The sequence below is a fragment of the Homo sapiens genome, chromosome 7 (genome assembly GCF_000001405.40).
Source record: "Homo sapiens chromosome 7, GRCh38.p14 Primary Assembly".
Taxonomy (NCBI): Eukaryota; Metazoa; Chordata; class Mammalia; order Primates; family Hominidae; genus Homo; species Homo sapiens.
In genome coordinates this window covers 43,545,157-43,566,038 of record NC_000007.14, presented here as the reverse complement: position 1 = coordinate 43,566,038, position 20,882 = coordinate 43,545,157, and the positions used below count along the sequence as shown (strand labels likewise).

Genomic DNA, 20,882 nt, shown 5'->3' with positions numbered 1-20,882 from the left:
GTCCTAGACTTCCGTTTGCAATAAGGAGCATACACAATGCCATACCAAAGTGAGTTTATTGACATTCCTTGAAGATGGTGTGATGGAAGAGAAAGCGCGGCCTGAGTATCACGTGACATTTCTCTTGCTGATGTAAGCAAAATCAGCCCAATAACGTGGACTTCTCCTGCTATTGACTAGAACAGACTTTTGAACAAAATTGTTGTAGACATTTCCTTGGATAAATTGGAAGCTGCAGGAAGTAGGCTAAAGGAACAATATTTACTCTATATACTACCTCTAGGCACCTTTTTTCCTACTAGAACAAAGGGACTACATGTCACTAACAGGAAAATAACACTTTCTCTTTTCTTTTGGACCTTATGATGGCTGGAACATCCATCCCAGATTTTTATGATATAGTATTGCGGTAGTTTTAATAATGAACACTGAAGTACGTAATAATAATAATAATAAAAATAATAATAATAATAATAATAAAGCACCACATTTGTTATGTAAAGTTCTAACTACTTTCATTTGAAAGTGTTTCATCTTGACTGGGAAAATATTTGTGGCAACTGAGAAATTTCCGAACCCAAATTTTGGACACATGGTTTGACACATGGACTGAAAATATGATGGATGTAATATTAAAACTACCCTGGAAAACTCAGCCATTGGCTTGCCACACAAATATACTTACTGTTCAAGGACATATGGTCATGTATTAAAAGAAAATTTAGATCTTGCATGTTTAACGCCTGCTCCCCCAAATCATATGTCTCTTTTTCTTAATTTTTTCACCACTCTCTCGGCATCTTCACAACCTCCACTCATTTATATACATAGGAAATTACAAAGAGTTCAGTAGATTTAGAATACTTCTCCTGACCTCACAGAATCAATTTCCATTTTTAGGATTATCATCTTCACACTGTAGAATAAAACATTTGTGATATCCATGAAATTATTATAACACTTTATAGAATTTTAAAAGCATTTTTCAAAGTTGTAACATAAATCTTCTCTTATTTATTGTTCTTGTTTGTCCCCTGATTAAAGGCGTTACACTCTTACTAAAATCAATTGTTTTAGGGAGATTGTGGCTTATAAATTTATAAGTGATTAATTTTGCAATTTGCCTCCATGGAGAAAACTCATGCTTAAAAAAAAATTACAGGTGGTAACAAATAGATCTGTCTTTCTGCCGAACTATATAATTTAAGGTGGTTTATACCTCCACCTAAGTGAAATTTAGTTCTATAGCTATTTCATTTCATATACATATTGAATGAAAAATTATATATAATTTAAAAATCAGCCTTATAAATAAGGTAAACATGAATTTCCATAACTTGTTTCTGTGTTCCTCTTCTCTTTGTTTTTCTTCCTTAAGGATTCTATGCAAGGTTGCAATAAAATATTACAAGCTTCATCTTCTTTCAGGTGACCGTGACATCAGCATTTCTTCATGAAATTTTGCACTTTTGTGAAAGAATGTTCCTGTTATGCTTTGTGGGATAGATCTATAGCTGTGACATCAGTAGTACTGGTGGATAAGGAAACGGTAGTTGAAAAATCATGTATGCCAAAGTTACCTATCTATATATAATTTCTGAGATACTGCATTCCTTTTGTATATGGGTAGATTAGATATTAATTAATCTAATTAATAGATTAATTAGTAATTTATATAAATTGCAAAGCTCTCCAGGAGCTGGTCCATCTTGTAAACAGCTTTCTCCTTTTCCAATGCCTGACAAATAATGTGAGTACTAGAAAGAGAGTGCTTGAATTAATGAGTATTTACATATATATAACACCAAGTTCTAAAGATAAAAGATGCCCCTATATTAGAGATGTTGTTGCAAGAGTTAGAATAAGGTTATGGTTCAATGATTTGCATAGTCCTTATGCTCTGATTTCATAAATAAAACAATAGCTCCATTGGAATCCATTATTTTTCAGATGCTGAACGTGTACTGAATTTTACATATCCCTCAAATTCTATATCATATAACTTACAGATTCCATCCTGTCTCAGTAAATATTCTTTTTAGACAATAAAAGTCTAAATTTCTATAATGTATACTCCTTGATTGACAACGGACACATCGCTGCAAGGGGTGCTGGGCATTGTAGATAATTCCTACTAAAAAAATGCTTTTATTTTTATTTATTTTTTTTTTAGATGGTGTCTCCCTTGATCATCCAGGCTGGAGTGCAGTGGCACAGTCTTGGCTCACTGCAACCTCTGCTTCTCAGGTTTGAGCGATTCTCCTTCCTCAGCCTCCCAAGTAGCTGGGACTACCGGCATGTGCCATCACGCCCGGCTAATTTTTGTATTTTTAGTAGAGATGGGGTTTCACCATGTTGGCCAGGCTTGTCTTGAACTCCTGACCTCAAGCGATCTCCCCACCTCGGCCTCCCAAAGTGCTGGGATTACAGGCATGAGCCACCGCTCCTGGCCGGAATGCTTTAGAGTGTAGGAACACAAATAACACACTGTCCAGACACAAACTGGTATAATGAGCCATTGGCTTCATATGAAATTCACTTCGTCTTACATTTCTCCCTTGTTTTAATATGGAAAACAATTAAATGACATTTAAATAGTGGGGTCTCTTGAGCTCTTCTTTTTCCCAGTGAAGAAAAACACTTTCATTTATGACCTATTTCAGGCAACATGGATAACAACGTTAGAAAAATAGCAAATGACCATTATGGTTGGGTTTATTTCAAATGTAGTTGAGAGGTTAGGCTGTCTTTGGAGCCTGCAGCTGTTTTTCTGACAACATGAAGTTTTCTGAGATATGTTTTCACTGAATGCTAAAAGAAACTGGATATTTATTTTGATACAAATCAACGTGCCTTTGGGGTGTTATGTTTCTGCCCCAGGAGGATTACTATGGGTGAAGGAGAAGTACTATGTTGCCCTTGATCCCTAACAAGCACCATCACTCTCTGCAGCTTCCTAGTGTGGTCCCGATGGACAATCGAATGCAAAGGAACTTGAACTCCATGATTAAGAAAGGAAAAGGAAAAAAAAATGTGAAAAAAAAATATCAAAGTTTTAAAAAAAGGGTTTGTCTGCCAAGCAAACAAAAGTCATGGCTTTAACAAAAGTCATGGTATCATCTACACATTTTTTTTTCCTTTGTGAAGAACTGTGGCTAGACTAAACAAAACAGAACAGTACAGAACTCAGGGATTCAAACCAAGGTAATATGTCCTTCTTCCCTTTCTCCAGTTGGCATTGCCACATTCTACATAAGACAATGGGGGCTGAAGCCTCATCCTTCATGCTACCTCAATCAAGAAGCTTTCTTTCTTGGACATGTGCACAAGTTTGTCCTTCTTGTGGTGTGAGTATTCACTAGGGATGCTCCCCCTCCTAAACTTCTCTTGAGTTGAGCCCACAATCCCCACAACCATTGGGATGCATTGCATTGCATCAGCAGCAGGTGTTTTCTTGCTGTTGTTAATCGTTAGAAGTGTCATATTTGCACCGTATGTCTAGGCTAGTTCCGGCTGATGGGACTGATGCCACATGTGAATCATGAGTTGAATGTATAAAAATTTCAGCTTTGCCACTGTTGTCCTTTGGATGGATATTATGCACAGGGAAAAGTAGATGGAGAGGAAAACAAAGAGTTGATCAGCTCCTAGTTCTGGAGTTGGTTATTAGAAATTATAAAAAATGGTGGCTCTGCTCAGAAGACATGGGCATATGAAAGCCTGGAGTGCTTAATGCTCACATTTTCCCTTCAATGATAGAAATGGAAGTAAACATTTATTACCATTTGGTCAAGTGTAGCTTAACTTGCATTCATATTTCATTGTTAGTAATGGAGGTATGTGGAGATATACACAGACCTTGAGACAGCTGTTTTTTAATATTGCATACAGGCTAGCAGTTCATTGAAAACAGAGGAGAGAAGCCTGAAGGTTAGATCTTAGAAGAAGGCAGTTCTTCATGCACAGCTTTTGTCAATCCTGATTTGGTTTGAAAATAAAAATCATGGAATACCAAAATCAAAGGAGAGTTGATTAAGGGAAAGGGAAAAGGGGATCATCCCAGGAAGGGTGATGTCACTGGCCAGGAAAATGTCAGGCGAGGTTCCATGTCCTCACTCAAGTCCAAAGGTGCTGGTTTCCTCTACTGCTGTTAACAGCTTTTCATACAACATGGAGTACGAGGGATACGGTGGAAGATCCAGTCGGTTGAAGCATGTGTGTGCCCTGAATGGGGAGAAGAGATTGGTGAGAGTGTTTGTTTCAATGATACAACTGGTTCTGGATCTGTGACTGTCTGAAGTTGTGATTCAAAAAGGAATCAAAAGTGAGCAGGACCATGATTTAGGACCACCATAAAACATTGCACACTAAAGAGCCACATTCCTCTAGAATGAATAGACTGGTGGAAGGAATGGAATAACTAAAAATGGGTTGTTTGCATTTGCAAGCAAACCAACTACACTAGAATGACACTAGCAAACTGATTATAAACTCTATGGTATCAGCCTGATTTGCAAATGAGTTACAAATTTTGATGTGGTCAATGAAGGAGGCAGAAATATAATTAGTATTGAAGGATTATATTCCTAAGTCTTCTTGCCCAGCTCTGATTTCTGAGCCTCTGTGAACCACATGCATCTATTTAGAGGAACCTGAGATGGCCTGGAATTCTGAGATCCAGTTCTCCATTCAAGTCAAGTGTGCTCTGGAGACAAGTCTGACTCCTCTACCCCAGTAGAACCCACAGAACCTAAAGTCGAAGTGCTGCATTTCCAAGAAAAGCTGCCCGTGTGAGCCAGTCCTCTCTGGATGCCTGGAGTGTCCTGGCGCCCGGGGTTCTAGCTTGCTTCATGTGCTTCCTCCTGCATGGCCAGTGTCTGCCTTAGACAAGGAATGTCTTCCTCGCCAGAGGCTAACACCTGGACCTGGAAGACTCATGTGGCTCTCCAGCAGTGGGTACAAGAAGCCCAGCACACATAGATTCCCTGCTGTGGAGCCTTGAATCACCTGACTAGCTGCTCCCTGCCAGAAGTTCTTTGTTTTTACAGAAACTTTGGCTGATGCCGAGTCCTGTACCGTAGTAGAGAGAAAGGTGGATGGGTGCAGGTGAAAGTTCATTTCCTGCCTTTTCCTCCCTAAGGGTGGTGTGTTGAAATGGTGTTTTCAGACACCAACCAGCACAGAAAAGGGCACTCTAAAATCAAACCAAATCAAATAAAATCAAATCACAAAACAAACATACAAAGAAACAAACAAAACTAAACTCTTCATTAGAGTTTTATTTGGGATATTAAACTCTTCTTTTCATTACAAGATCCCTAGGGGACTTGTGTATTATTTACACCTTTGTTTTAAAGTATATAAATCAGAGTATCAGATCACTGCCCAGGCTGATGCAGCACTCAGGTTACGGGGGGAGATTATTTTGGGAATAAGGAAGATGGGAAGAGGAAAGAGGGAAGGTGGGGTTTCCTGCCCATCGAGAATCTAGGGAGGATGCTGGTGTTTTCATCTGCCCAGCACCCATTCCTCCTCCTGGCAGTCCTTGGGGAACTATCCCTAACCCCTACCTCCCTCCTCCCTGTCCCTTTCCCCGCTCAAGCTCCAAAGGCAGGCACAGGGCAGTAGAGTGTCTGGTCTTAGGCCTTAAAGACATAACTGGGAAGAAACATACGAATACAGATTGGCAGAATTCTTAAATTATTATCTAAGATTCAAACAGGCCTTCCTTTACTTTAAAAGAAAATAATTGAAATACTTTACCTAGATGTAAATATTTGAGTGAAAGGGAACTCAGTAAATTGAGTAGGATGGTTACAGTGATTTCTCTCTATGTTAAAAAGATTGCAATGAAACTAGAACATACATTGGGCTATGGCTAAACAGGCGAAGTGGGGTGAAAAATCCCAAGCATGCTTTTGGAACTAGCTGAATTAGCCAGGGGCGAGATAGGAGCAGGCATCATCTTCATAGTTTTCTTCCTCTGGTCATTTTAACTGGCACTCATGAGTGGAAATATTACAGAAAAAAAATCACCTTTACAAATTAGTTGGAACCAAATTAATTCTGTAAAAGATCATTTCTGGGAGTAAACAGAAAGCATTGACGAATAGCACCTAGTCTGAACACTCATGGTTTACTTACTAGTTGCTTTTATTGCATTTATTTAGAGCCTTGGTGAACTCCCTTAGTTTGTCATCTAGAATGAACGAACACAATCAAATCATGATCCAATTCAGCATTCCTAAGAGCTCACCACCCTCCAGGTGTGGTTCTGACAGCACCGAGTGCCTGCTTACCTCATTCCCGTGCACCAAACCAAGCATTGCCCGGTGGTGTGGGGCAGTGGACAGCAAGAAACCAGGGCTTGGAAGACTTCTATGCTGACCCCGGTCTAGTCACTTACCAGCTTTATGACACTGGAAAAGTCAATTAATCTTCCTGAGCCTCAGTTTTCTCACTTGTAAAGTGGGGATAATAATATATGCTGCGTGCACCTCAAAGGGTTATGGGGAGGATCAACGCCAGAACACACATAAATGCGTTTTGTAACCTGTGAATCATCATTTAAACATAAGATTCTCTTAATAATGCAACCATGATTGTGATAATGATTTGGGGAACCGTGTCATACTTGTGGCAACTGAAGCCTCTGGAGTTTTGCACGTGACCTACTGGCAGGTGACTCACTCTCTTCTCACACTTGGTGCGATGGATGTTTTGGAGATCTGCACGGGTCTTTAAGTTGTGTCGAATTCCATGCCATTGGTGTCAAGCTAGGGTTCCAGCATTTTGAGATAATTTTGGATTGGGTTGTGCCAATCCCTGTATTGTTTATCCTTCTAACTGTGTCATCTACACAGTTGATCTCCCCGTCTCCTCTATTTTTCCAAGTTATAGATTGAAATGTTAACCAACACAGGGCCAAAGAAAGTCTTGCTCCTCTCTACTAGAGACCACTTTAAGGTTGTCTAGAAACACACAAAAGTGGCAGCAGTCACTCCTCTTTGCTGCCAATTGTTCAGCCGGTTATGTAAGTTGTGTCTTCCCTTCATGCCAATCTTCTTCCACTGCCTAACTACAGCCTTGTTCTCTTCAGATAGGCCTTGCTCTCTTTCCTTCTAAATTTACTCTTTTTCAAGTTTGCCAATAACCTCTTGATCCCTAAATCCAGAAGCCCATACCGCTCCACCTGCTCCAGCTCTTTAAAAGCATTTGACAGCTCTTCCTCTGGAACATCTCCCTCCTTGGCTTCTCCTTGGTTTCTCAATGGCTGCCATTTTCTCTGCTGAGCTCCCTGATGGCACCCTCAGGCCTCCTTTGTAGGTCCTCTTCTGGCCTTAGGTACTAGAGAGCAGCATTTCTCAGCTTGACACGATTCACTTTTCAAACTTGATAACTCTTTGTTGTGGGAGCTGTTTTGTGCATTGTGAGATGTTTAGCAGCATCCTTGGCTTCTACTCAATGGACACCAGTAGCACCCCTTCCCCTCAACCAAAAATGTCTCCAGACATTGTCAACTGCCTCTTGCGGGGGAAGAGGGGCAAAGTCGCCTTCCCCAGCCCCACTTTGAGAATCACTGCTACAGAGTAAACCAACTACTAACTTAACCAGGCCTCCAACTCCACCCTGGGTCTGGGCTTAGTTTACATCTGCAGTGAAACATGTTCATATTAGAATTTCGTTTGCAACTTTTAGGCCAGTTAATTGCTCATGACTCATAGCTTTGATATCCCTGGTCCCTGCCCCAAAGGTAAACCCAAAGATTCTCCCCTCTCCTTTATTCTATCTCCACACTGCCCAGTGCTACTTCGACTCTGACCTAGCTTCTGCCCTTCTCTTTCCTTCTGAGCCTTTCCTCTGTCCTCCTTTGAGCTCTTGTTCAAAGTAAAGAAACTTTGCCACCTCCTTAAGCTCTTTCCAGATGCTGCCTCCGGGTCCTAGTGTCCCATCTCCAGTTCTCATGGGTGGAAATTGCTCACTGCCCCACACGCTGTGACGTGGATGGACATTCTTCACACTCCCTGCTGTCAATTCCACGTCATGACTTTTGCAATCCTTGATCAGTTTCCATTCCTTTGAATCTCATGTCATTTAGATAATTTATTTTTAAAACCATAGGTTTTGGCTGGCATTTCATTTTAATGAAATAGGATAGAGCAGAAAATAGATTTTATTGCAGATAATAAGGGTAAAGTGCTGTTTTGAGGAACTTGAGTTTCAGATATACACACACATATGTGCAAATGAGTACATGTGCATGTCCTGAGTTGTGATATAAAAGGCATTTCTTTCTGTGGACTATGGTTTAAGAAGCTTGAAAATCAGTGATCCAGATAGATCTTTGGTTCCTTCTGACCCTCTGAACTTCTAACTTATTATGACTATTATCTGGCACTTTGCTGAAGTCTTCTTTTCCACTTCAAGTCCTCCTACCAGACTGTGTGGCAACTAAGTCCACATGGCTGACAGGGTGAACACCCAAGCCCCCAGTTCCTTGACCTCAACTCCAGTGACAGTCCTGCCTCTCATCTACTTCAACTATGAAATTATATCCCAGAAGCCTCTACCCTCAAAGTCCTTTCTCCTGGCCCTCACACATCTTTTAGCAGGCAGGGGCTTGGACTGACACAAAGGTTTTATGTAGCCTGGGCTATGACCGGGTTTTGCTGTGGCGGTGTCTGGCGCTCTCATCTGGGAAGCCAGTTGCCTTTCCTTTCTGCAGAGGAAGGACTTGAGGAAAGAGCTGAAGGCTGCCTCTCCCAGAGTGCAGGCCACATGCACTGTGGCTCACAGTACCTGGGAAGCCCATGCCACCCTGGGTCTGCTTTGCTTCCTGCCTGCTCAGGGCTTCCTGTCACCTGCCATAGTCAGGTCAGGTCTTCCCGAACGACAGTTTCTGGAAGTCAGAGGTTCTTTCTTTCTATCCACACATAGATGACATTTTTTTAGGTTCTTTGATCTTCAGACATTGTCCAAAGGAGATTGGACAGGGGTCACTATTCAGGGAGTTATTTTCAGTGTCCTCTTAGAGGCATTTGCTTCTTGTCCCAAGAAGAGGTCCCTACTTCCCCAAGAAACCATCTCGGGGGCTTGTGGTGCAGCAGCCCTCTTAGGGGTGCCTTGGTTCAGATATGAAGAACGTGTTCATAAGCCCAATGTCTGCCTTAGAAGCTCTCTGTGTGGGTTAATAATATTAATGTGTATTTCAAAGCTTCCAAAGCAAATATGGAAATTACATTCAATCTGTGACCCCAGATAACAGAAGCAATGACTCTCATTTCCTAAAGAATAGAGACTCCTCAGCACGGTCTTTTCTTTTTTCTTTCTTTTTTTTTTTTAATTTAATTTGAGACAAGGTCTCACTCTGTTGCCCAGCCTGGAGTGTGGTGGTGCAATCACAGTTCACTGCAGCCTCAGCCTCCTGGGCTCAAGTCATCCTCCTGCCTCAGCTTCCCAAATAGCTGGGACTACCGGTGCATGCCACCATGCCCAGCTAATTTTTTAAATTTTTTGTAGAGACGAGGTCTTGTCCTGTTGCCCAGGTTGGTCTTGAACTCTTGGGCGCAAGCTATCCGCCTGCCTTAGCCTCCCACAGTGCTAGGATTACAGGCGTGAGCCACTGCGCCCAGACAGCAGGGTCTTTTGTTTGTGGCTCACCAAACTCTTTCTCAACTGCATCCCCTGTGATGTTGCTCCGGGCATCTTACCCTCTGCACTGGCCAGCTGCACCTTCCTGAACACGTGCTGCCATTCCCCGCTCTCAGCCCTTGCTTGTGTTATTGCTTCAGCCTGGAAGCCCCCTTCTCCCTATTCCTTGCCTCCCAATCCTCCCCTAAATGCCAGTTTTTTAGTGGCATGTTCTCTAGGCAACTTGATTAGGAGGCTCTGTTTCACACTCTCGCAGCACGCTGCTCTTACCCCCTGTGCTCCTCTGATTCTACCTTGTGCTGTGATTAGTTACTATCAGGCCGTGTTCTCCCTAGATTGCAGGTTCCCACGGGCAGGTGTGTGGTTGTAGCTCAGCCCCTCCTCAAGCTGCATGCTATCATCAGTGATGACTCAAGCTGCATTTCTCTAAAATAAAAGCAAGATGTTTCCAAATAACTATATTCTTGAAATCATCATTCAACTTAACAAATGCAAATTCTGCCTTTTTAGTCTTCTTTTCTTGCCAGACTTACATTCACTAGGTTTAGCTATTGGTAGAGCCATGCAAACAACAAAGACCCTTGGAACTGAGGGTCTGCTGAACTGAGTGGGTGAAGCCAGGGCTGAAGCCTGCACCAGGGTGTTCAGCTGTGGTTAACCAGCTGGGCATGCCCATGAATGCTGACCGACACCAGGTGAATTGTCCTCGGGGAAAATCTGGGAAACCTAGGTGAAAGCTATAGTCCAGTAAATCCTTCTGCAATAAGGATTTAGCAAAGGTATTTGGGTGGCCATGTAGAAATAGAGCTGAGTTAAATGCAAAGCTTCTTTATAATTCGAACGTATCCTATTAGCAAAAGATAATAGGGGTCAATCTTTTCTTCTGTCTGTTGCAGCAGCGTTTCTCACTATAGCGCCTATGCACAACTGTCTCTTCAGTGCTTCCTGATCAGGAATGCACTACCCAGAGTGGCATAGAAAGGATTCAGGAAGTGCTGGGATTAAAACTCACAGTGCAGGGAATTTCTTCTGTAAAACTGCCTGGAGCCCCAGCGTCTCCTTTTCCACATTTATCCCACAATAGATGTGCTTTCTAAATAGAAGTCACCATAGAGACCCAGAGATACATGTATCCCCACATGTTCTAAAACTTGATAGGAAAAATCCGACACACCACAAATATATAATGATCCTATGAAGTATCAAGTGATACGCTGCAGAAGTACAGATAACGATGCTCGAGAGGTTACTTCCAGGTTCCAGCATTTTTATATTAATGTCCTTGCCTCTGCCCTCTCCTGTGTCAGACATTCATCTTTAAATTAAGTTGGGCTATGACAGCATCCCACAACTGACACATGGACCAAGATATTACAGCTCAAATACCATCAGTCATCAAAACCTCCCTAAGAATAATATAGTTTCAGTGCAAGTCTCACAGCCACCTCACCTTCACCTTTCCCTAATAACTCCAATGACAATACTTTGGGTGACAGGAAAGAATTCCATCCCAAAGGATGGTCACTCAAAATCAAATAGCAAAGTATACTTTGCCCTCTTCAGCAGGTTTCCCCGAAGGCTGGCAGGAGCTCTGTACCTGGGGAGAGAAGTAATTTTCCCCCATTTCTCTATGCAGAAGCGCCGAAGCCCATTGCTCCCACGGAGGGCTGCGAAGCCTTCGTAGGGCACGCTGGATGTTCCCGTGACAAACTGCAGTAATCTCAGCCTCTGCTCATTATTGAAGCGCTCCACCGCAGCCCAGAACCAGCGGATCACAAGATGCCCATCGTGGTAACCTGCACGAGGCAAAGGGAGGGAGGAAGACAGGATGTGGAGAAAAGAGGAAGGGGTGAGGAGGGAGAGAGAGATCAAACACATCAGGTATGATAGGAACGGAACCGCTGCTTTTGATCTGATTTCTCTTGTGATGGCCTTTAGAGAGGTCTAAAACAATTTGTGCAACCAGGTCAAGTTTTAGAACAAGAGCAGATTTAGAAAATAGTCATTTTATAAAAGGACTTTATGTTCTGTGATGTTCTCAGAGATGTCTGCTTTCTATTTAAACAACTGAGACTCCACTTAAAATGTTCCTGCCTCATATAGGTGTAGATAAGGAGTAGAAGGGCCTGGTAGAGACCAAAGGGCCTATGAATATAATATTGCATCATATTTCCTTTGTTTTGCTGTCTTAGCTCTTGGCAACCACATACCACGGGAGAGTCTAGGACTTACCAGTCTAGGCTGGAGGCGAACAGCCAGTTTCGTGAACAGGAGATCCCAGGCTCTCCCCTTGAGCAGCTGCTCTCAGGCCAGCCCTGGATGGATACATGCTGGGCCCATGGATTAAGTACTGGGTCCCTCTCACAGTAAGCTGGGGAGACCATGCTTGGATATATCAATTAAACGATTTGCCATTGACTGCAAATGCAAGAGGCATTCAGAGAGAGGAGAAATCTATGTGTGCCAAGGTAGAAGCAAGGAAAACTTCAGAAAGGAAGTGAAGCTACGAGCAGCGTGCAAAGGGCTTGTGCAAGTGGAGGGAAGAAGGAGGACATTCCTGGCAGGAAAAATAAAGAATAACAAGAAAGAGGAGGAAATATGCAGGCAACAGTAAGCCACTAGAGTAGAGGTGTGTCTGGTGAAGGCAGGAAGGAATATTTCCGGGGGGTGTTATGGGGCCTTAACAGCCAGGCAGAGACTTTTTTTTTTTTTTTTTTTTGAGACAGAATCTCGCTCTGTTGCCCAGGCTGGAGTGCAGTGGCATGATCTTGGCTCACTGCAACCTCTGCCTCCCGGGTTCAAGGGATCCTTCTATCTCAGCCTTTTGAGTAGCTGGGACTACAGGCATGTGCCACCACACCTGGCTAATTTTTGTATTTTTTTTAGAGGCAGGGTTTCACCAGGCTGGTCTCGAACTTATGAGTTCAAGCAATCTGTCTGCCTTGGTCTTCCAAAGTGCTGGGATTACAGGCATGAGTCACCATGCCCAGCTAGGCAGACAGCGGTTTTCATTCTATACCGATTTTATACTATAAGAGGCATTGCGGGGCTGAGTGTACTGGGGACATGAGGGAGGCTGAGGCGATGCCCCCAGCTCACTCTCTACTGTATTGATGGGATTTCTCTGTGATATTGTAAATGAAGAGTTGTGAGGCTAACAAAACCCTTCAAATCTATAAGTAATAAGGAACTTGTTTTGTGGGTAGGGAAGTGGCCTGATGAAAACAATGTTTCAGGAAGACAGGTCTGGCAGTGTGCAAGGTGAGTATTTAGGAAGGGTTAGACATTAGCTTTGGTGAAGGCCACGGTTAGAACCGTGTTGTGGCAAACCAGGATTGAGGCAGAGAGGGCTCCAATTCTGTAGGAAATGAGACACCCTTCCCTGGAGCCATGCACACTGCTCAGGAGCTGGGTCCTGGATGGAATGTTCTCTGCAAGCCTCTACATCGAGTTAAGCCAGAGACTCGACCAATATGAGGACGATGTCACCTGAAGGAAAGTTCAGGTTGGGAGTTGGAGAAAGGCATGTACAAGCTCCTGCTTTGTACTGAAGTAAGGCCAAGCTTTTTGTAGTCTTCAAAAAGTGATGAGTTATATATACATGCAATGGAATGTTATTTGGCTATAAAAAGGAATAAAATACTGAAACATGCTACATACAACATGGATGAACCTCAAAACAGTAGGCTAAGTCAAAGAAGCCAGACACGAAAGACTACATTTTGTATGATTCTATTTATATGGCATATCCAGAATAGGCAAATCCATTGAGACAGAAGGCAGATTGATGGTTGCCAGGGGTTGGGGGAAAGGGGCGTGAGAGTGAGAGCAACTGCTTCATGGGTACAGGGTTTCCTTTTGGGGTGATGAAAATATTCTGGAAGTAGCTAGAGGCAATGGTTGCACAAAACTGTGAATGTACTAAATGCCACTGACTTGTTCGCTTTAGTCAATTTTATTTTACATCAATTTCACCTCAACAAAACAATCTTTTGGAAAGTGCTGAGTTCTATTTGTGATCATTGCATCATTACAGCTCCTGCCCACTCACCTCCCCGGTACTCAGTGTTATTCCGCCAGTCATTTAGGTCGATTTCCGCGGTGCCAGCTATCACCAGCTCCAGCTCCCTGGCATCAAACACGGACACCAGCCTCGAGTCTACAACCTGAAATGCAGGTTAGGCTTCAGCATCCAGGTCCAAACACATGGAAAGGCTATGTTCATTATTATATTTATGTGGGTTAAACTGGGAAATTGACCATCACTGGCAATACTTTTTTTGAGTCTGTAATCATTTTTAACTTGAAAATTATTGCTATGATCTGAATGTTTATATCCTTTTCCTTCCCCAAATTCATATGTTGAAATCTTCACCCCTGAGGGGATCGTATTAGGAGGTGGGGCCTTTGGGGGGGTGCTTAGATATGAGAGCTTCATGCTTTTATTAAACACGCCCAAGACAGACCCCGTGTCCCTTCCTCCACATGAAGACACAGGGAGAAGGTACCATCTATGAACCAGAAGGTGGCCCCTTACCAGACACCAAATCTGCTAGTACCTTGATCTTGGACTTCCTAGCCTCCAAAACTGTGAGAAAAAAATGTCTGTTGCTGCAAGCCACCCACCTCACAGTATTTTGTTATAGCAGCTTGAACGATGATCATTGACTTAAATATTTTAGAACACAAGCCTTCATGAGCGGGGAACAGAAAAAAGAATCGCATGCTCCACTCCTAATGCTCCCTCTCAGAATGATTCTGTAAACAAATCTGACTCGACTTTCTTAAGTCACATTGAAGTTTTCAAATAATATTGGATTTTAAAGGCCAAGAGTCCACATCACTTTGAAGGACTTATTTAATAGCTATTAGTATTACTATTTCACTTAAAATGTAACCTTTCACATGCAATTATGACTTATTTCCTAAAATTGAGCATTTGTATTAAAACGACTGTATTTTCCATCCCTTCTCAAACCATGACCCTAAGATTAAAAGCCTCATGCTCACTGGACTGAGCTAGCTGGGTGGAAATTTGTCTTTTCCTTCTCTTCTTCTCTCACTTCCTTCCTCCCTCCTTAGAGATCTGGGAAGACTTGTTTTGTTAGGGTTCTGCATTCTGACTTTGCATCTTGTGCCAAGTGTACCCAGGCACAACTGAGGTCCTGTGGTGGTACCTCCTTTAATCAAACCAGTGGTGGACAAGACCATGGCCAGTGCACTTCTCCATTCTGGCAGGGAAGGAGAGCCTTCCACGACCCAAGACCTGAGAAAACGTTTATAGCCTCTGGTTTTTAAACTGGAGTTCAAGGACATCATAGGATGTCTAGCGGCCCTCCCTGTCTTCCTCATTTACCACTCAGCATAGATTACGTGGCACAACATGATGCTATAACAAAATAAAATTCTAGTGACAGTGGACAATACCCCCCAATGTCTTCACTTCACTTATTTTTGTTTCATTGACTGAAAGGAAACACCAGCTGCATATATTGTGACAAGAGATGCTAGATGTTTTCACGTCTGGCACGCCAGGGTCACATGCCAGTTGCTTGAAAGCATTTTTCACCCATAAGAGTTGAGTTTCCCAGAGAACTCTGACCCCTCAGCCCTCCACCACAAGAAGATCCTCAGTACTCCCTGGTGAGGAGCACTCGCTGAGCCCACTGCCCACCTTGGCTCTCCCTCTCTGTTTTCACCACCTGAGCTGCTGCTCCCTCAGGGAGCCTGGAGGATGAGGCCCCGTGAAGCAGCACCCTGGCCACAGCTTGCCTTCCCCAGGCCACCGGGCCTCACCTCGTAGAAGCCGCGCACCAGCGCCTCGGTCTGCTGTACCACGCCGCGCTCCACCCGCCACTTCACCATGCGCTCGATGTACTCCTTCTTGTTTTTCTCCGTCACCTGTGTGTTGGCTCCTCCAGACTTCAACTCCCTTTCCGTGACCTTGTAGGAAAACAGAAATATTGCGATGCTTGTCAGTTCTGCTTATCTCTCAGGGAGGCACACTGATTTTAGGGGGATGACCGTATGCCAAAAATCCTCTACAGGGCATTATTCAGCATTATTATCCCTGGAGTCTTTTTTCCTTGCTAAAGGTCACTAAAAGAGCTCTGGCTGTTCTAAGCAGATTGGAGCACAGTGGTGCAATCATAGCTTATTGCAGCCCTGCATTCCTGGGGGCAAATGACCCTCCTGCCTCAGCCTCCTGAGTAGCTGGGACCACAGACAAGCCCCACTCCGCCTGGTTAATTTTTTTTCTTTCTTCTTCTTCTTCTTTTTTTTTGGTAGAATGTGGTCTATGTTGCCCAGGCTAGTCTTGAACTCCTGGCCTTAACTGATCCTCCCAACTCCAAAGTATTGGGAGCCACTGCACCCGACCTCTAAGCAGATTGCTAAGCACCTTGGAAAGGCTACAGTTTTTGTTTTATACAGAGGAAACAAGTTTCCTATACTCAAGAGGCATAATGGAAATAAAAGGAAAATGTCCTAGGTTGTCCCTAATGGTGAAGCTGAATGTCTCAACACTACAATCACATACTTGATGCCCCCAAATCTCAATGACAGCAAATTCTTAACAGCCATCAGCTTCCACTCCCACAGCTGGCCAGAAGACAGTGGTCTTCTGGCAGAGGGTGGGGTATAATATTACACAGCCAGGGCAGCCTGACCCTGGGAAGGGAACCAGAAGCATGTAGGCACACACAGCAAATGGCGCTGCCACTTGTGTGATGATGCCTGTTTGTTAGGACATGCTTGAGTCATCAGGGAAGGCTATTATCTGTGTATCATCTTTTCACAGGCAAGGAGGTAGATAACATGCTAGACATTTTTTAAAAAATCAAAATATGTTCATGTATGAAGGGGGTAATCTTCAGTCATCTTAAATTCACTTAAGGGCTCACTGCAATGCTCAATGCTGCAAGACAAATGAGGCATCACTGGACTTAGTTACTGGTTTAAAGAAAAAAATACATATATGTTTGGCACTTGTGGACACAGGTACCTAAACAAAGCAGTCCATAAGTAGTCTGATGGTGACTTTTTCTTTTATCACTTAGGTGATTAGTGCCAATTATAAAATATTGGCTAATGATAAAATACTTGTTACCACCCAGCATCCATATTCTTTGGAATGTCTGATTTTTAGCGGCCCAGTTAAAGACTTTATTTTCCAACCTCTCTCACAGCTAGGTGTGGCATGTAAGTAAATTCTGTCCAATGGGATGTAAGCAGAAGTGTATGGCACTGTCAGGAGGCCTCCTTGAAGGGATGGGCTGTGTGTTCCTTTGTCCGGCTGCACTGAACACAGTTGTGATGGTTGGGATGCTGTACGCATCTGGGCTAAGAGTGCAGGGGGCCTACCCTAGCGATAGCAGTGGGGAGACCTGGAAGGAGCTTGATCCCTGAGGATTTTATCAAACAGAGCTTTTTTTGTTTTTGTTTTGAGACAGGGTCTCACTCTGTCACCCAGGCTGGAGTGCAGTGGTACAATCTCAGCTCTCTGCAACCTCTCTCTCCCAAGCTCAAGCGATTCTCCCACCTCAGCCTCCCAAGTAACTGGGACTATAGGTGCATGCCACCACACCTGACTAATTTTTTTTTATTTTTAGTACAGACAGGGTTTCGCCATGTTGGCCAGGCTGGTCTTGAGCTCCTGGCCTCAAGCGATCCACCCGCCTTGGCCTCCTGAAGTGCTAGGATTATAGGCGTGGACCACCACACTCAGCCTCAACAGGGCTTTTATATGAGAAAAAAAAAGCTTCTATTAATTTCAACAGGGTCATTTTTGGCTTCTTCACTAGTAGCTGAATCTAATCCTAAAGCCTACGGTGTCTTTCACCTGCATCCCTCTGCTCTCCACTGTCTAACAACTTGACAAAAGAAGGGCTGCAATTCAATCTTCTAAAACCACTCATTGTTCTTGGTGACCCCCTTTTGAAGAGAAATGAGATAAACTTTAAACAGGTATACAGGCTGACCCTTGAGCAGCGTGGGTTTGGACTGCATGGGTCCACTCGTACATGGATTTTTTTCAATAAATATATTGGGAATTTTTTTGGAGACTTACAACAATTTGAAAAAACTCGCAGATGACCTGCATACCTAGAAAATTAATAGAAGCTTTTTTAAAATGAAAAAAAAAGTTAGAAATGTAATGAGTCCATAAAATATATGTAGATACTAGTCTATTTTATCATTTACTAACATAAAATGTACACAAATCTATTATTAAAAAGTTAAAATTTATGAAAATGTACACACACAAACACTTAGAGCCTGTACATGGTGCCACTGGCAGTTGAGACAAATACAAACATCAAAATGCGGTATTAAATCATAACTGCATAAAATTAACTGTAGTACATACTGTACTATTGTAATAATTTTGTAGTCACCTCCTGCTGTTTTTTGCGATGAACGCAAGTGTTGCTGATGAATAGCCTCTCTCCAGTAAACTGTGTATCACAGTAAAAAGTGATCTTTCTTGTTTACTGAATATTTTCCACTGTGTTTAAGTGCAATATTGTAAACTTTGAATAACATTGTGGGACCCACACGAAGGGCCACTAATGATGCTGGAAATACTCCCAAGAAGCAGAGAAAAATCATGATATTACAAGGGAAAATTGAATTACTTGATAGGCACCATAGATTGAGGTCTGCAGATGTGGTTGCCCATCTTTTCAAAATAAATGAATCCAGCATAGGGACCATTGTAAAAAAGGAAAACGAAATTCATGAAGCCATCACTGCAGCTATGCCAGCAGGTGTGAAAACCTGGCACTTTTTGTGGAATATCTTTTTATCTCATATTGAAAACACAGCTTTTTTTTTTTTCTTTGAGCCAGAGTCTCACTCTGTCGCCAGGCTGGAGTGCAGTGGCGCAATCCTGGCTTGCTGCAATCTCTGCCTCCTGGGTTCAAGCGACTCTCCTGCCTCAGCCTCCCGAGTAGCTGAGATTACAGGCACGTGCCACCACACCTGGTTAATTTTTGTATTTTTAGTAGAGATGGGGTTTCACTATGTTGGCCAGGATGGTCTCGATCTCTTGACTTTGCGATCTGCCCACCTTGGCCTCCCAAAGTGCTGGGATTACAGGCATGAGCCACCATGCCTGGCTGAAAACACAGCTTTTATGTGAGTGCAGTATTGCTAGAACAATGGCATACATACCTGTAGACTCTAATATGATTCTAGATAAAGCAAAGTCATTATATGATAACTCAAAGCAAAAGGAAGGTGAAGGATCTAAAGTTGGAAAATTTAATGCCAGCAAAGGACGGTTTGATAATTTTAGAAACAGGTTTGGCTGAAAAAAATGTCAAGATAAGAAGAGAAGCAGCTCGTGCTGACCAAGAGGCAGCAGACGAATTCCCAGACACCATTAAGAAAATCACTGAGGAGAAAGGATATCGGCCTGTACAGGTTTTTAATGCAGGCGAAAGTGCCCCGTTCTGGAAAAAAAGCACCACAAAGGTCCCTTATTAGTAAGGAAGATAAGTGAGCACCAGGATTTAGGGCAGGAAGTGATAGGCTAACTCTGCTGTTTTGTGCAAACACATTTGGATTTATGATCAGGATTGCCCTTATCCATTAAAGCTTTAACCCCCGAGCCTTGAAGAGAAAAGATAACACCAGCTGCCAACAAGAAAGCCTGGATAATGAGAACCTCTTTTCTGGATTGGTTCTGTCAGTGCTTTGTTCCCGAAGTTAGGAAGTACCTTGCCAGAAAGGGACTACCTTTTAAAGTTTGTTTGTTTTTTTTTTTTTGATATTGGACAATGCCCTTGGCCACCCAGAACCCCTTGAGTTCAACACCAAGGCATCAAAGTGGTCTACCTGCCCCCCAAAACAACATCTCTAATTCAGCCTTTAGATCAGGAGTCATAGGAACTTTATGTCTCATTACACATGACACTCTATGGAAAGGATGTCAACACTATGGATGACTTCAATAGAGAGAACATTGTGAAATTCTGGAAAAGTTATGCCACTGAAGATGTTATAGAATAAGCCATGAAAGTCATCAAGCCCCAAACAATAAATTTCTGCTGGAGAGAACTGTGTCCAAATGTTATGCATAACCTCCCAGGATTTATGACAGAGCCAATCAAGGAAATCATGAAAGAGACTGTGGATATGGCAAAAAAAAAAAAAAAAAAAAAAAGGTTGGGGGTAAAGGGTTTCAAGATATAGATCTTGGAGAAATTCAAGAGCTGACAGACACCACGCCAGAGGAACTAACAGAAGATGACTTGATGGAGATGAATGCTTCTGAACCAGTGCCAGGTTCAGAAGGGGAAGAAGATCTAGAAGAAGCAGTGCCAGAAAACAAATCGATGTTAGACAATCTGGCAGAACGGTTCTGATTGTTTGACTGCTTTTGACTTCTTTTATGATAATGAACCTTTCTAGATATGGGCACTGAAACTAAAGCAAAGGATTGGTACTATATAGACACATTTTTAGAGAAAGGAAAAAGCAAAAACGACAGAAATTATGATGTATTTCCATAAAGTTACACCAAGTGTGCCTGCCTCTCCTGCCCCCCTTCCACCTCCTCCACCCCGAGACAACAAGACCAAACCTTCCTTTCCTGCTCCTCTTCAGCCTATTCAAAGTGAAGACAAACTTTATGATGATCCACTTCCACTCAATGAATAGAAAATATATTTTCTCTTCCTTATGATGTTCTTAATAAGGTTCTCTTTACTCTAGCTTTCCTTATTGTAAGCATGCAGTTTATAATACCTATAACCTACAAAATATTTGTTAATTGACCATTTTTGTTATTAATAAGACTTCTAGTCAACAGCAGGCTACCAGTAGTTAAGTTTTTGGAAAATCAAAAGTTATGCATGAATTTTCAACTGTACAGGACTCAGCGCCCTAACCTTTGCATTTTGAAGGGTCAACTGTACATTATTATAGATCTACAACACATTCTTATTTTTAGCACTGGGAACATTTAAGCTTTTTTTCTAAGTTGTCGAATTCCTACACTTTACACTAGAGGATTGTTCTTCTGTATCTTCAACTTTATTTTTTCCTCTAATTTTATGCATTCAGTTATTTGTAGTTGACTTCGTTTTCTTGAATAGACAGTATATGGCCATGGAATAAAATTCAAGTGGTGTAGAAGGCCATAAAATGAAAAGTCAGTTTTTCTCCCACCTAACCTCCCAGCCATGCAATCTCCCTTTCTGGAGACAGTCATCTCTACTTCCCTT

General features: G+C 42.6%; 1 protein-coding gene across 19 annotated transcripts in view, besides 1 other annotated feature; it reads right to left on the bottom strand.

Moving 5' to 3' along the window:
- Nucleotides 1–37: 37 nt before the first annotated feature.
- Nucleotides 38–20,882, bottom strand: part of HECW1 (HECT, C2 and WW domain containing E3 ubiquitin protein ligase 1) — a 453,355-nt gene continuing 432,510 nt past the window's right edge. For all 19 annotated transcript variants that reach the window (NM_015052.5, XM_017011883.3, NM_001287059.2 and 16 more), the window contains 4 exons: nt 15,448–15,594; nt 13,703–13,817; nt 11,249–11,447; nt 38–4,224 (listed from right to left, as the gene is read on the bottom strand). In NM_015052.5, the coding sequence (NP_055867.3) occupies nt 4,113–4,224; nt 11,249–11,447; nt 13,703–13,817; nt 15,448–15,594 (573 nt within the window). In that variant the 3' untranslated portion in view covers nt 38–4,112. The remainder of the gene's footprint in view (nt 4,225–11,248; nt 11,448–13,702; nt 13,818–15,447; nt 15,595–20,882) is intronic.
- Nucleotides 10,768–11,967: an enhancer, noted in NCBI's record as "MED14-independent group 3 enhancer chr7:43593671-43594870 (GRCh37/hg19 assembly coordinates)". NCBI's record gives its function as "activates an origin of replication core promoter dependent on BRD2, BRD4, P300/CBP and CDK7 cofactors, and independent of MED14, by STARR-seq in HCT116 cells {active_cell/tissue: HCT116}" and the evidence as "EXISTENCE:reporter gene assay evidence [ECO:0000049][PMID:35650434]".